Source organism: Homo sapiens, chromosome 17 (genome assembly GCF_000001405.40).
Source record: "Homo sapiens chromosome 17, GRCh38.p14 Primary Assembly".
Lineage (NCBI taxonomy): Eukaryota > Metazoa > Chordata > Mammalia > Primates > Hominidae > Homo > Homo sapiens.
In genome coordinates this window covers 59,512,465-59,529,790 of record NC_000017.11, presented here as the reverse complement: position 1 = coordinate 59,529,790, position 17,326 = coordinate 59,512,465, and the positions used below count along the sequence as shown (strand labels likewise).

The 17,326-nt window shown below is 41.6% G+C and overlaps 1 long non-coding RNA gene across 1 annotated transcript in view; it reads left to right on the top strand.

The window, feature by feature from the left end:
- Positions 1-2,933: 2,933 nt before the first annotated feature.
- LINC01476 (long intergenic non-protein coding RNA 1476) overlaps positions 2,934-17,326 on the top strand; it is a 95,989-nt gene continuing 81,596 nt past the window's right edge. Inside the window, exon 1 of the long non-coding RNA NR_110813.1 lies at positions 2,934-3,311. This is a non-coding gene — a long non-coding RNA (long intergenic non-protein coding RNA 1476). The remainder of the gene's footprint in view (positions 3,312-17,326) is intronic.

Genomic DNA, 17,326 nt, shown 5'->3' with positions numbered 1-17,326 from the left:
ACGGGGACGAAAAGGGCTGGGCACTGTGGCTCACGCCTGTAATCCCAGCACTTTGGGAGGCCAAGACACGTGGATTATTTGAGGCCAGGAGTTCAAGACTAGCCTGGCCAACATGGTGAAACCCCATCTCTACTGAAAATACAAAATTAAGCCAAGCGTGTGGTGTGCGCCTGTAATCCCAGCTACTTGAGAGGCTGTGGCACAAGAATCAACCTGGGAGGCAGAGGTTGCAGTGAGCTGAGATCATGCCACTGCACTCCAGCCTGTGTGAGAGTGAGATTCTGTATCGAAAAAAAAAATGGTGATGGGGGGGTGGGGAGGAGGAAAAAGATGCTAAAGAGACAAAAATGACAAAATGTGGAATAATAAAGGAAGTTAAGTATAAATTGTCTTATGAGAGCAACACAAAAGATGTGTAAAAATTACACAATCCAGCTTGGCTTTACTCTCCCAGCATCCACTTAAAATACTCTGCCTAAAGAGTAATTTTTTTCATGAAATGAAACTCACGTTATTGAGAAAATGCAGCAGGATGGGAAATAATCTTGCTTTCCTCAGAGGTGTAGAGAAGGGCAAGAACTGGAAGAGAGTTCCTCCACCAAGGTAAAACAGGCATGGAAAGGGACAGCGATGGGCACAGGTGGGGTGGGGGGTAAATCTACCTTGGGCAGGTACAGCAAGAGACATTAGGTAACAGTCCAAGAAAAGTCAGTACCCACAGCCTGGGCAACATGGAGAAATCCTGTATCTACAAAAAATACAAAAACTAGCCGGGTGTGGTGGTGCAAGCCTGTGGTCCTAGCTACTCAGGAGGCTGAGGTGGGAGGATAACCTGAACCCAGGTAGGTCAAGGCTGCAGTGAGCTGAGATTGAGTCACTGCACTGCGGCCTGGGCAACAGAGCACGACTCTGGCAAAAAAAAAAAAAAAAGCCAGGATCAGTGGCTTATGCCTGTACGCCTGTATTCCCACCACTTTGGGAGGCCGAGGCAGGTGGATCCCCTGAGGTCAGGAGTTCGAGACCAGTCTGGCCAACATGGCAAAACCCCATCTCTACTAAAAATACAAAAATTAGCTGGGCATGGTGTTGCACGCCTGTAATCCCACCTACTCAGGAGGCTGAGGCAGGAGAATCGCTTGAACCTGGGAGGCAGAGGTTGCAGTGAACTGAGATCGCGCCACTGAACTCCAGCCTGGGTGACAGAGCAAGACACGGTCTCCAAAAAAAAGAAAAAGAAAAAGAAAAAAAAGAAAAGAAAAGAAAAAATAAAGAAAGAGGAAGGAAGGAAGAAAAGAAAAGTCAGTACCTGTCATCTCAATACAAAGAAGATGGAATGTCTCAGGTGGTAGATGTTAAGTGTTTCCCTGAATAGATCTCCAAATATGGAGAGTTATCTGTCAGATATTTAGGCTGAAGTTGTGGAGCACACCTTCTGTCCCTAGGTATGATAAGAATAGAGACTGATAAGAACAAGGCAGGCCTCCAGGTCTAAAGAAAGTGTGGTTCTCAGTAGGTTTCTAAGTCAGGGATCCAGGCACAGGGAACAGACAGGGATGTAGTTACAAAAACTGGTTACCAGAAAGCCTGGTTTTGGAGACAAGTAGGAAGTCCAGTTATTGGAGCATGTCAGAGCTAGCCTAGCAATGAGTATGACTTTGTGTGCCAAATCTCTGAATGACGGACATGAGTGCCCTCCTGGGGCTGAGATTTGTTTTAGGGGCTGGAAGGTTGGTATCTGTTGGGAGATGAAGGATATAGAAGTAAGGAGTTAGGCAGGTTCTGACAGACACAAGGAAAGATTTTACTATGCAAGTTGAATAGCATGTATTTTGATCAGCTCAATTCTGAAGCTATAAAGTACAATAAAGGAGATGTTTAAAAAATAAGAGGCCAGGTGTGATGGCTCACACCTGTAATCCCAGCACTTTGGGAGGCTGAGGTGGGTGGATCACTTGAGCCCGGGAGTTTGAGATCAGCCTAGGCAACACGGCGAAACCCCGTTTCTACCAAAAATACAAAAAAATTAGGCAGGCATGGTGGCGCATGCTTGTAGTCCCAGCTGCTCTGGAGGCTGAAGTGGGAGGATCGCTTGAGCCTGGGAGGCCAATGGTGCAGTGGGCTGTAATCATGCCACTGCACTCCAGCCTGGTCAACAAAGTGAGAACCTGTCTCAAAAAAAAAAAAAAAGTGGAAGAATCCACATCTAATTTGAAACACCCAGAGCTGTGGGAATATGATAACCAGAGCACAAGAGGTACAATATTGGGGCACTTAGATAAGGGTAATTTGTATTATTGATTTGTATTCATCTCTAAGATGTGCCTCTCACTGTGAAGTTCCATGGATAAAGATTTGGCTTCAGTTTCTGTCTGGAAACCTGGCACCATTTACTTACAAATTAAAAATACAAGTGAATCATTTACATATCTCCTAGAAACCAAAGAGTTTGTATGTTATACCTCAAGTAATTTGGATAATGCCGTGGGTTGTGTTTTTTTCTTTTTTTAAATTCTAATTAAGCCGTCCATCACTTCAAGGTGATAATTTTCTCAAGTATGCTCTTCTTAAAACGATTGCATTTTATTTAGTATCTTACAGCGTGAAGAATTTTGACTCCTAGGGAAAATCTCATGTAAGTGATCATCTGTTATCTTGAGGGGAGGAGGATGGGGAGGAGTCTTTTCTGATCCTCTTCTTTTGAAAGCTATCACCCTCCCACTCTATGGGATTTAGGTGGGTCTGTCAGATACATGGGTTTAAATCCAGAACCTGCTTGATTCCCAACTTCTGTATCCTTTCTCTCCCCACAGATACCAACCATCTGGCCCTAAAACAAATCTCATCAGTTTATGAACCAGGCAGCCCAATCACAGTGCCTAATTCTCCCTATCACACAATTGGTCAAGGAGGGAGCAAGTGACATAATCTAAATTCTTTCCAAAGATGGATGCAAATGCTGGGAAAGCAAGAGTTGAATTGCTAGCCATGAGGAAAACGTAAGCCTGAGCTGTTTGCTGGCCATCTTTGCTTCCACATGGGGATGGCCTGCCTGGAAATGAAGCCACACAGAGAAAACAGAAGAGCAGTGAAGAGAAGGGTAAAAGGAGAGATCCCATGACATGATTTGCACTCTTAGATCCAGTTATGCCTGATGCAGGACCCACCCCTTGGACTTCCCATTTCCAGGAGCTAAAACTAGACTGAGTTGAGTTTCTGTCACTGACAGTTGACAGAAAATATCAACAATCCAGCCACATGGAGCCTCATGGCAGTACCACTAACCCTGGTCACCACATGAATACTGACCAGAGGTAAGCATTATTCGTTTCTGCTTTGTTGGAGGAACATTTGAGAATCTATTTTGTGTTATGTAATCTTACTTTTTGCCTCCAATGTCTACTTGTTGCAATTGCATGCAATGAAGGAACACAAAATAGACTGAATAATAAATGGGTTTTATTTTAATTGAGCACCAAGGAGTTAATATCAAGCCACAAAACTTTAGACGTTAACTTGCTTTGCTAATCATTTTTGATGACAATATTTTGAAAGAATTTAGTTCACATATGTGCTTGCAAATAAGGTGTAATCTTGCAAGATATTCAAGATTGCTCTGTCACTGGGGGTGAATGAAAAAGGTTTCTCTGTATCACTGGACATTTGAAAGAATGTATAAAAAGTGCAGGATGACTCCTTACTGGAATATAATGTTTCCAACTTTGCTATTCTAAAGTTCAAAGCCAATCTGACTCTTGATCCTTGAGTATGTGTTTTTTCTCCTCTCCAGAGGCTTTGAAGATCCCTTTGTCTCTGATGTTCTGAAGTTTCACAATCGTGTGTGTTGGCATGAGTCTTTCCCCATTCTTGTTCTGAGTGGATCCTTACACTCTGAAAATTGATTTCTTGCAGAACTATTTATTGATGGCCTACTGTGTGTCTGGTTCTATTCTACGCAATGATCAAACATACAAAATCCTTGCCATGCAGGATTTCACATTATAGGCAGGTATTGGACATTCTGCAGTGATCCAATAGGTTCCTTATTTTTTTTCTCTTCAATTTCCACTTTCTTGTCTTTTTTTTCTTCTTTCTAAAAGAGTCTTCAATTTCATCTTCCAATTCCTTTATTAAAGTTTTTGCTCCTGCTATATGTTCAATTTCCAAGGGCTCTGTATTATTTCATAAGTGCGTATCTTCTCTTATCTCTCTGAAGACGTCTTTAACAGTTTTATTATTTATTTATTTTACTTCTTGCATTATCTCAATACCTCTACATTTTGTTGTCCTGTTTATTTGTTTTGGTCTCTGTTTTTTAATGATAAAAACTTTCTTTCTCACTTGTATGTAGGGGGCTACAGAACTAAGAATGTACTGACAGCTCTGTCTGAGACTATGGGACTTGTGAATTGAGCTTCATTTGTAAGGTGATTGGGCGAAACTTAAATTTCACTGAGGTTTTCCTCCCTCCATATTGTCTTATCTATAGTTAGTTGCTAGTGTTTACACATGATGTTCTAGCCTCAAGGTGGATTTACTCTAAAATTTATTTTACTCAAGCTTGACATAGAATGTTTTAAATTTTTGTTTGTTTGTTTTTTGAGACTGAGTATCTGTCATCCAGGCTGGAGGGCAGTGGCGCAATCTTGGCTCACTGCAACCTCTGCCTCCTGGATTCAAGCAATTCCCTTGCCTCAGCCTCCCAAACAGCTGGGATTACAGGCACCCACCACCATGCCTGGCTAATTATTTTTGTATTTTTAGCAGAGACGGAGTTTTGCCATGTTGGCCAGGCTGGACTTGAACTCCTGACCTCAGGTGATCTGCCCACCTTGGCCTCCCAAAGTGCTGGGACTGCAGACGTGAGCCACTGCACCCAGACTTTAAATTTTTATTCTACATAATAAAATCAAATTACAGAGCAGCTGCCTGGTACGATTTGTATAAAACAACTTATATTTGGGCCGGGCACGGTGGCTCACACCTGTAATCTTGGCACTTTGGGTGGCTGAGGTGGTTGGATCACTTGAAGTCAGGAGTTTGAGACCAGCCTGGTCAACATGGCAAAACCCCATCTCTACTAAAAATACAAAAATTAGCCAGGCATGGTGGTGCACGCCTGTAATCCCAGCTACTTGGAAGGCTGAGGCAGGAGAATTGCTGGAACCCAGGAGGCGGAGGTTGCAATGAGCTGAGATAGTACCAGTGCACTCCAGCCTGGGCAACAGAGCAAGACTCTGTCTTGAAAAAACAAACAAACAAAAAACAAAAACCGCTTATATTTGGAGAGTAAAAAAAAACCACAAAACAAAACAAAAAACAAGACTTTATTGCAGAGCTGCCCAACAGGTATGCCACAAGCGAGTTATAAATGTCCTGAGGTATGGACCCCTTCCCTCGGGTCAATAAGGTGAAAGTACATGTGTAACAACCAGCTCTCCAGGAAAAAAAGGCTTGATTTGTAGCATTTGTTAATTTCATCTTACTTTTTAGAGATAGAGTCTTACTATGTTGCCCAGGCTGGCCTCAAACTCCTGGGCTCAAGTGATCCTCCTGCCTCAGCCTCCCAAAGCGCTGGGATTATAGACGTGAGCCGTTGGGCCCAGCTTGTATTCGATAATTGTTTTATTTCCGTGGTGTAAGTACTCCTACCATGGACAATTTCAGACTACCAGCAAGCTGTCATTAAGTGCAAATTGGGGAAGATATATACACATTTGGCTCTTGGGATCTGGTAGGAGCTGGCTCGAGCACATTTCTGAACACTTTAAACTCTTGGGAGTTCTGGTGGATGTCTCAGGTGCGCAGTGCCTGCCCTGGGTTATTGCCTTCTGCTGAGAGCAGTCTTGTCAATTTACCCCAATGTGCTGTTCAACTACTATCATTCATATATATATATTCTTCTCATGACATGAGAAAGGCTGGGAAGCCCTGCTCCATCGGATTTTTGTTTTTTGTTTTTTGTTTTTGAGACAGAGTCTCGCTCTGTCACCCAGGCTGGAGTGTAGTGGCACAATCTTGGCTCACTGCAACCTCCATCTCCTGGGTTCAAGTGATTCTCCTGCCTCAGCCTCCCAAGTAGCTGGGATTACAGGCATGTGCCACCACGCTTGGCTAATTTTTGTATTTTTAGTAGAGACAGGGTTTTGCCATGTTGGCCTTGCTCGTCTCAAACTCCTGACCTCAGGTGATCAGTCTGCCTCAACCTCCCAAAGTACTGGGATTACAGGCATGAGCCACCGCACCTGGCCGGATTTGTTTATTTCTAAAATATTGTGTGTTTGTATCTGTCTCCACACATGCAACTCAATTCACTAAAATATATTAATATTTTCTTATAAGTGTATAGATGATATTACTTTTGTGGCCATACAAGAAGTTTCTTGAAGTTCGAAAAACAATTCATACAGAATATTCGACAACCCTGTTTTTCTGGATAAAACTTGAAACCGTGGAGAAACAAAACACTATCCTACCCTCAGAGAGCACACAGTCTAGGAAAAATGATTCCATTTGAAATAACTCAAATACATTTTAAGCTCAGTAGGTTTATTAATATTAGGCAACAATAAACGATGCTTAATATTCTTCATTTTATCCTTTAAAAATTTTGGCATTTCTATTTATCGTTATTAAATAATATACATTAAAAATTGGAGAGGGAAAATGTCTTTTAACCTCACTGAATAAAAGAAAATAATTGAAACTTTAATTTTCATTTTAAAAGTAATTACATGCAGTGATAGCCTAATTTTGATGGCATGGTAGTTAACAGACAGCTGCTTTTATTTTAAATGGAATTGCATTTTTAACAGAAACTACTCTCAGTGTTTGCTTTCATCTTCTGAATAGGAAAGCCAATTTGAGGGTTGAATATTTGGTGAGTTTGATGGAGCCAATTAAGATAATTCAGGTCAATAAAAAAATAATTTAATATGTTTCTCACTTAGCTGACTCATAAAGTTGACAATAACTCCTATCTACAATAGCTATACCAAAAAAGTCCACGATAAATTCAGCCTTCTTCTTAAAGGAAAAGCAGAATACTGTAAATTTTATTCAGAACTTATATTTTTAAACTTCATTAATTGTACACAATAAATTGAAGTGACGATATTTATATAATATAGATTTCAAGATTATCTTCTCAGCACGTATGAAGATTTATTATGATGTTTTCATTATAGCTATGCACCTACTTACATTAAAAATTAATGTATCACAGCAGTGTCTTTCAGGCAGTAGTTAAAATAAAGAGAAATTCTCCACTAGATAGGATAAATACTAACAAGAGGTTGCTGCAAACCCCAAAGTGCAATTTTTTTTTTTTTGAGATGGAGTCTTCCTCTGTTGCCCAGGCTGGAGTGAAGTGGCGTGATCTCGGCTCACTGCAACCTCTGCCTCCCAGGTTCAAGTGATTCTCCTGCCTCAACCTCCCAAGTAGCTGGGACTACAGGTGCACACCACCACGCCCGGCTAGTTTGTATTTTTAGTAGAGAAAGGGTTTCACCATGTTGGCCAGGATGGTCTCGATCTCTTGACCTCGTGATCCACCTGCCTCAGCCTCCCAAAGTGCTGGGATTACAGGCATGAGCCAATGCACCCGGCCTGATGATTGGGTGTCTTAATTTTTACCTGGGAGGCTAGAGTCACTCGTGTGACTACATCAGGGTGGCTATTTGGTTATTTTCGTGATTGTTTAATGTCTTTGTCTGTGTTCATGTTCAGATTGAGTAAGTTGCAATCTTGTTATTGTCTTGTTCCACCATGGTTACGGAGGGACCTTGTCTGATTATTGTTGTTATTCTGTGAAAACTGCTTATCTTGCGTGAGGGAACGCTAGATAGCCGCCAGCTGCAGGCTGTCAGGGTCATCCTGTTGTGTATCACATTCTCAACCCGCTATTAAGCTTGGACTCTGACATGTGCTTGTTTCCACATAGGACTTTACGAAACCCAGGTCACAACGTGTGACCAAGAGTTGGGAAGAGGGATAGTCCCCCTGTTTCTGTAGAGTTTCCATGCAATGACTGAGAGTTTGCTGCTTCAGGAATGCTCTGGGCCTGATGGCAGCATCCTCTTCAGGGCTGGGGTCGGGGGTGAGAGGGAGCTGCTGCCCTCCAGTGGCTGTCTAGGAAATTACATCAGTGACTCTTCCCCCAAATCATGCTTAGATTTTCTGGGAACTTCCCCGAACGTGGCAAGGCAGAGCAGAAGGAAAGAAGATTCGCCTGGGAGTAAAAGCCAGCAACTTTTGGGTATTACTGTTAATATGGCCCCATGAGTACTCTCAACTTGGTGAAGCCTGGAAAAATGGAGATTATGTGACTTGTAGGTTTTTGATAATTATATATTGTGTTGCTTTTATAATCAAAGAAGGTATCTGTTGAAGATAGAAGAATAAGAACTTAAATATTTGTGGCCAGGCACGGAGGCCCATGCCTGTAATCCCAGCACTTCTGGAGTCCAAGGTGGGAGGATCGCTTGAGGCTGGGAGTTTCAGACCAGCCTGGGCAACAAAGCAAAACCCCACCTCTAAGGAAATTCTTTTTTAAAAATTAGATGGACATGGTGGTGCATATCTGTAGTCCTAGCTACTTGGTAGGCTGAGGCAGAAGGATCTCTTAAACCCAGGAGTTCAAGGCTGTAGTGAGCTATGATCATACCACGGGACTTCAGCCTGGATGACCGAGCAAGACCTTGTCTCTCTATAAAAGGACCATGCAACTTAGAAATACAGCATAATTAAAGATAAGAGGGTTAGAAAAGTTTTTACTATCAAGGGTTACATAAATAAAGATTAAAATTTCACTTAAGTTGGAGAGGATGCTGAGAAATTGGAATCATTGTGCATTGCTGATGGGAATGTAAAAATGTGAAGCTGCTGTGGAAAACTATGTCAGTTCCTCAAAAAATTAAACACAGGATTATCATATGATCCAGCAATTTCACTTCTAGGTATATGGCCAAAAAAATTGGGAGCAGGGATTCAAACCGACATCTATGTTCATGGAGGCATTATTCACTGTAGCCAAAAAGTGGAAATAATCAAAATGTCCATCGACAGATGAATGGATAAATAAAATGTGGTATATCTATCTATTCAATGGAATATTATTCTGCCTTTTCAGAGGAAGAAAATTCTGGTACTTACTACAACATGGATGAGTCTTGAAGACATTATGCTAAGTGAAATAAGCATAAGCAAAAGGACAAATAGTGTATGATTCCATTTATATGCGCTACCTAGCACGGTCGAATTCATAGAGACAGGAAGTAGAATGGTGGCTGTCAAGGGATGGGGAGGGGAGAATAGGGAGTTACTGATTAATGGGTATGGAGTTTCTATTTGGGAAAATGAAGGAAGTTCTGGAGATGGGTGGTGGTGACGGTTGCACAACAATGTAAGTGCACTTAATAACGCTGAAGTGTATACTTACAAATGATTAATATAGTAAATTGTATGTTTTGTATATTTTGCCACAATTAAAAAAACAAAAACAAAAAAACCCTGATTCTGAGCCCTAAGCCAAACCAATTGAGTTGGGGAGAACAAAGGGGGAACAAGGGGTCAGGGTCTGAGTGCAGGCTTTTTAAAAAACTTCTCAGCCAGGCACGGTGGCTCACGCCTGTAATCCCCGAATTTTGGGAGGCAGAAGTGGGTGAATCACCTGAGGTTAGGAGTTCAAGACCAGCCTGACTAACATGGAGAAACCCCATCTCTACTAAAAATACAAAATTAGCCAGGCGTGGTGGCACATGCCTGTAATCCCAGCTACTCAGGAGGCTGAGGCAGGAGAATTGCTTGAATCTCGGAGGTGGAGTTTGCAGTGAGCTGAGACTATGCCATTGCACTCCAGCCTGGGCAACAAGAGCAAGACTCTGTCTCAAAAAAAAAAAAAAAAAAAAAAAAAAAAAGCTTCTCAGGTAATCCTCCCATGCGTAACGAAAGTAGAGTACCCCTGACCCAGATGATGTCTAAGATCCTGTTTTGCTTCAGCCGTCCATGATTCCAAGTAAAATGACCCGACAAGACTGCCAACATTTTGCCCCAGTTTCATAAATACAAGTAGCAGCTTCCTTTGACAAATTGTCTGAATCCAAATTGCTAATGAACGTACACTGCTTTTTTAAAGCTATTTTTTCTGCATATTAATTTTACTTATTTTCCTAAAATGAATTGATCTTTTCCACAAAGTTTCATTTGACAGATGTACAAGTTTCCACTCAAATAAGACTTTTATATGCAACAACAGATTCTAACATAAGTTGTTCTTATAGAGAGAGGATACTGTATGTCTACATTCAGCAAGATGTTTCTTTGCCAAAGCTAATCTGTTTTGAAGCCTGGCATTTCTGTTTTACTTGTCACAAATATCCAAATATGTTTTTTACCCAAGGCTTTAGAGTAATACTTTAGAATAATTTTTTCTCAATAAATTATTGTAAAATAATTGATTAGTAAGCATTAAAAGTACTGAGAAAGTTTTCAATAATGAACATTTGAAGTGACATAACGGAAGAAAAACATGGGTTATTTTTCCAGAAGTTTAATTGTTTTATAAAATAGTTGTTTTGAAATATTTCATCGTCCTGATGCAATAATCACAGAATGTTGAGAAAGTCTACAAAATCAGGGCTAAGTCAAATTAAAGATGAAATGGAAAATATTTTTAAATGTTTCATACTAAAATGAGAGAAATGATGCATGTGAAATAAAAAGTAATAGCTTTCCATTCTAGGAGATTTTTTAAATGTACATAACATATGCATCTTTTTTTTTTTTTTTTGAGACGGAGTCTCGGTCTGTCGCCAAGGCTGGAGTGCAGTGACGCGATCTTGGCTCACTGCAACCTGCACCTCCCGGGTTCAAGCAATTCCCTGCCTCAGCCTCCCGAGTAGCTGGGATTACAGGTGCCCGCCACCACGCCCGGCTAATTTTTTGTATTTTTAGTAGAGGCAGGGTTTCACCATCTTGGCCAGGCTGGTCTTGAACTCCTGACCTCGTGATCCACCCACCTCGGCCTCCCAAAGTGCTGGGATTACAGGCATTAGCCACCGCGCCCGGCCAACATATACATCTTCTAATGAGTTTCTTTTCATTTACTAATGAGTTTTGAGTAAAAATTATTCTTAGCAAAACAAGCTTAATTGAATTCAAGCTTCTAGAAGTCAATATTTAAAAATTTTTGCCTTTCTCTGTTAAAATTCTGACTTGAAAATTTCACTTTAAAACACATAAGTTCTCAGTGAACGATGTGGCTTAAATGTGCTTTATCCCGATGATAGCTATGGAATTATTGAATCAATTTGCACTAACAAAGGAGCATATTTTTGTGCTTTTCAACCACATCAGCTACTGGATTCAAACAAGGCATTTTTCTTGAAATCAGTTCAGAGCAGTCAAAAGTCCTGATAATGAAATGTATGATTTAGCTGCTTCCTGTCCTAGAAGAAAAAAAAAGTATGGTTTCAAAGAATAAACATAGTATTCTCTCTCTCAATCTCTCTTCCAAAAAAAATTTATTGGACATTTATGTGCCTTTGCTCACTCCTACGTGTACAAAAAGAATATATCACATTCTTTGCCTTCAAAGAGCTCACAATGAAATGGAGGAAGTAGACAAATAAACATATAATATGCAACGATGAGCATAAACAAATAAATACATAATACGCGTATGCAATATGTTTAGATGCTCACGGTATTTCAGAAGCACAGAAGAGAGGTACCTATACTGGGAAGAGAGAAAGAGAAGGAGGCAGAGAAGGCTTCCCTGGAGCAGGGCGCATCTGAGCATGTACTATTTCTTTGAATGAATATAGAGAGTTTCTTATAATTTGTGATTAAAAAGCATCAAAATATACTTTTTTTTTTTTTTTTTGGAGATGGAGTCTTGCTCTGTCGCCCAGGCTGGAGTGCAGTGGTGCGATCTCAGTTCACTGCAACTTCTGCCTCCTAGTTTCAAGCAATTCTCCTGCCTCAGCCTCCTGAGTAGCTGGGATTACAGGTATGCGCCACCCTGCTCGGCTAATTTTTGTATTTTTAGTAGAGACGGGGTTTCACCATGTTGGTCAGGCTGGTCTCAACCTCCTGACCTTGTGATCCGCCTGCCTCGGCCTCCCAAAGTGCTGGGATTACAGGCCTGAGCCACCTTGCCCAGCCAACATACTTTTAATGTATTTTGGGGTTTCACTATTTTACATCTAAACATTAAGCTCTGGTTTTGTATAGAAAGCATTTAGTCTTACAAAAACAAAGTAGAATGTCCTCTTTGGTTTGATCAGAAAAGGTCTCAAGAAGGCAATGACAGCTGCTCCAGTCTTTCTCAGCCATTCGCTGTGAGGCCCACCTCTCTATCTGGGCTCTCTCATTTTGATTCCCTTCACTAAAATTACCACCTCTGTTCCCAGCAGTGTGGCCAATGCCCTTTTGCTGAGAACCAGAGAAACAAGCCTCTCATTCCTCCATGATACTCCACTGAGTCTTGTCTAAGGAAAATTTAAAAGGAATTAATTTCAGTAAATAGGCCAAGCACAGTGGCTCATGCCTGTAATCCCAGCACTTTGGAACACTGAGGAGGGCAGATCGCTTGAGCCCAGGAGTACAAGACCAGCCTGGGCAACATGGTGAAATCCTGTCTCTACAAAAAATACAAAAATTAGCCAGGCATGGTGGTGCACACCTGTGGTCCTAGCTACTCAGGAGGCTGAGGTGGGAGGATCTCTTGATACCAGGAGGTTGAGGCTGCACCACTGCACTCCGGCCTAGGTGACAGAGAGACCCTGTCTCAAAAAAAAAAAATTTCAGTAAATATAAATATAACAATATATTATAGTATACAATATATAAATATTATATACTAATGTATAAATATATAAAATATGATATGATAATATATAAAATAGAAATAAGAACCAAGGCAGTCTAAAAAGCATCTCCATCAATCTATATTTCTTCACATGGCATTCCAGGATTTTCATAGCCTGGCCCTCACTTTCTCTCCAGCCTTATCCCTTGCTATTTCTCTTTGTATATTTTGACTTCCACAGTGTCTGATTGCTCTCAGTGTCCTAAATAGGTCAATGTTTGCTCATACTTTCACACCTTAGAACACAAGGGTAGGGTCCCCTGCTGGGGTGTGAAATAACTTCTGTTCCTGCACCTCCTCTTCAGCTGTCACCTTCTCTGTGAGGCCATCCTTAACTCCCCAGGCTGAGTAGACACCCCACCTTAGGTTTCTCGAGCATTTGGGCACACACCTTTACATCTATGCTTCCCAGACTTTCCTGAATATACGACTCAACTTTAGTGTTAGTTAAAAAACAGATTCTAGGCCAGGTGCAGCGGCTCATGCCTGTAATCCCAGCACTTTGGGAGGCCGACGCGGGCAGATCACAAGGTCAAGAGATGGAGACCATTCTGGCCAACATGGTGAAACCCTGTCTCTACTAAAAATACAAAAAAAAAAAAACCTAGCTGGGTGTGGTGGCGCGCACCTGTAGTCCCAGCTACTCAGGAGGCTGAGGCAGGTGAATCGCTTGAACCCGGGAGGCAGAGGTTGGAGTGAGCCGAGATTGCGCCATTGCACTCCAGCCTGATGACGGAGTGAAACTCTGCCTCAAAAAAACAACAACAACAAAAAAAAAACCAGATTCCAGATTCTAAAACCTCAGAATTTACATGAGAAAAGTCTGGTAAGTTAAGTTCCATATTTCACAAGCGGCCCTGGGGATTCCCATCATTAGAAAAGTTTTGAAAACATTGCTCTGTATCATGACACTTCTCATATTGCATTACAACTATTTGAATTACTGGACTCTCAATAGCCTGTGACCTGCATCTGTTCATTATTGTATTCCCAGTCCCAATACAATGCCCAACTCATGGAAGGAAGCAAAATATGAATGAATGAAAATTCAAATGTGTATGTTTCATTTATTCATTTTTATTTTATTTTATTTTGAGACAGAGTCTCACTCTGTCACACAAGCTGGAGTACAATGTCATAATCTCAGCTCACTGCAACCTCTGCCTCTTGAATTCAAATGATTTTCATGCCTCAGCCTCCTAAGTAGCTGGGACTACAGCAATGTGCCACCACTCCTGGCTAATTTTTGTATTTTTAGTAGAGATGGGGTTTCATGATGTTGCCCAAGCTGGTCTCAAAATCCTGGGCTCAAGCAATCCTCCCACCTCAGCCTCCCAAAGTACTGGGATTACAGGCTTGAGTCACTGCACCCAGCAAGTTGCTCTAAATATGTTTGTTCCTCTCTCTTAGCACCTCAACTAGGGACTTCTTTTCCAGTATCCAGATGCTACACATCACCAAAAGCTCACCAGTGGTGGGATTATGACTCAGTTTTCTTTGTATGAAGAGAACGTTAATAGTTCCTACTTCATGAGTTTTTTTTTGTGAAAAGTAAATGGAATAATACACGTAAAACACTTAGTACGATGTCTAATATTAGGAAGTACTAAGTAAATGAGGTAATAATAATGACAAAGACCAGTCAGACAGAGTCACTTGGGAGATGTCATTCCCCTTGTGAAGCCAAAGTACAAAAAAGGAGCCCACAAAGTCATGCTTTCAGCCGTCCTGAAGGGTACACTGCAAGATTTAAAAAACCCTTTCTGGCAGAGCACGGTGACTCACACCTGTAATCCAGCACTTTGGGAGGCTGAGGTGTGCTGATCGCTTGAGCCCAGGAGTTCAAGACCAGCCTGGGCAACATGGTGAAACCCCGTCTCCACTAAAAAGACAAAAATCAGCAGAGGAAGGTAGTGCATGCCTGTAGTCCCAGCTACTCGGGAGGCTGAGGTGGGAGGATTGCTTCAGCCCAGGAGGCAGAGGTTGCAGTGAGCTAAGATGGCATCACTGCACTCCAGCCTCAGTGAAAGAATGAGACCCTGTCTCAAAAAATAAATAAATAAAAATACAAACCCTTTCTTCTGTTGCCAAATGTCAACATCCTTTCTGATTCAGCCTCTCTTCCCCATCACTGTAATAACCCACATTTCATGGCAAAAAATAGTATTATCAAGAGAGACAAGAATTGTTGGCACACGAATACAAACTTTGTCGCTATCTGGAAGAGTTTGTTCTTGGAGATTTTCTCTAAATATTTGTCCTTCGCATTCTTAGCTTCTTGTAATGTTTAGTACCTTCCCATAAACACTGATTTCCAAAGGATCAGAACTTTAATCACCATCTTGACATCTCCCCACAATGTCCGGTACCAATACATCAATACCAGAATGTCATTGTTTCTGTGCTAGGGGAAAGATGATGGCCAAATATTCTGGGTCCAAAGAGAATGCAGGTTATTGACTCTTTTTAACAGACAAAGAAATGCAAAATGACAGAAGGCCACATTGTTGCCTAATCCTGGACAACAAAGGAGAAGAAACATTAACCCAAGAGATTTGGCCGCATGCCCAGGCTGCTTAAGTGCTAATGCAGAATAGCTCTCAACTCTAACTGGTTATCCCACCCCCTTTTAACCTCCTCACTCAGCATAATTTTCCCCTGCTAAAGGCCGATCTCCTTGAAAATATCTTTACCTACTTTAAACTGCCAAGATCCTTTAGTAGCTTCCTAGTTAACCTTTTGAGGTTGACACTTCACAACATATTTGCAGAGTCTTTCCAAGCCTTGGCATCTGCTCCAGCCTACTCTGGTGCCTTCTGTAAGATTCAGATCAGGCTGACCTAGGAGAAGATCTAGGTCTAGGGGGAGTCGTCTCCCCAAAGTATACCTATCTATCTTATTATATTATAATGTAATGAGATTTAAAATATAGAATCTATAAGACACAAGGTACTTTTTAAAAGCCTGAAAGCCGGCTGGACAGGGTGGATAACGCCTCTAATCCCAGCACTTTGGGAGGCCAAGGCGGGCGGATCGCTTGAGGTCAGGAGTTCAAGACCAGCCTGGCCAACATGGTGAAACCCCGTCTCTACTAAAAATACAAAAATTAGCCAGGTGTGGTGGCGCATGCCTGTGATCCCAGCTACTCGGGAGGCTGAGGGAGGAGAATTGCTTGAACCCAGGAGGTGGAGGTTGCAGTGAGCCAAGATCGCACCACTGCACTCCAGCCTAGGAGACAGAATGAGACTTTGTCTCAAAAAACAAAACAAAACAAAACAAAACAAAACAAAAGCCTAAAAGCTATTACATTTTATTTATTTATTTATTTTTGAGATGGAGTTTCGCTCTTGCCCAGGCTGGAATGCAGTGGCACAATCTCGGCTCACCACAACCTCTGCCTCTTGGGTTCCAGTGATTATCCTGTCTCAGCCTCCTGAGTAGCTGGGATTACAGGTATGTGCCACCATGCCTGGCTAATTTTATATTTTTAGTAGAGATGGGGTTTCACCATGTTGGCCAGGCTGGTCTCAAACTCCCGACCTCAGGCGATCCTCCCACCTCGGCCTCCCAAAGTGGTGGGATTACAGGTGTGAGCCACCGTGTCCGGCTAGCCATTACATTTTAATGTGAAACCACCACAATAGCAACACTATTTGGAATATGTTACCGTCCTTATCCCATCTTGAGACACACTCAAGTGCTTTTAGTTGGAAATGCAGCTGCTAGCAACACTTCCTTTTTTCTGGTATTTAAAGTTGTGAGACTGAATTTAGACAGAGTATAGACAGAGAAAAGACATAATAAATCACTTCTCAAGTAAATGAAACTTCCTATATCAAATGACTTAATTATCTGCATTCAATTTGTCTGCCATTGTGTGGTCTGGCTCATGTGACCCTTCCATATTTACAAAGCATTTATTGAGTACATGTTATGTACTGGACATGGTTCTGGGTAAAATCTCAGACATTATCTTATTATTATCCATCACCTTTTAAGCATAAGGAAACAAAAGCTTAGTGAGTTTAAATACCTTGTCAGATTCTAAACGTAATTCAAAACTGGTGCTACACCATTACTTCCTCTACCAAAATATAAAAAGCAAGATATCTTTGTACAAAGAGGAATTAAGAAATAAAATTTTCTTTTCCTTGTTTTCATAATTTTTTTTTTTTTTTTGAGACAATGTTTTCGCTCTTGTTGCCCAGGATGGAGTGCAATGGCACAATCTTGGCCCACTGCAACCTCTGCCTCCCGGGTTCAAGCGATTCTCCTGCCTCAGCCTCCCGAATAGCTGGGATTACAGTGCGCCACCATGCCCGGCTAACTTTTTGTATTTAGTAGAGACAAGGTTTCACTATGTTGGTCAAGCTGGTCTTGAACTCCTGACCTCAGGTGATCCACCTGCCTCGGCATCCCAAAGTGCTGGGATTACAGGCGTGAACCACCGCGCCCAGC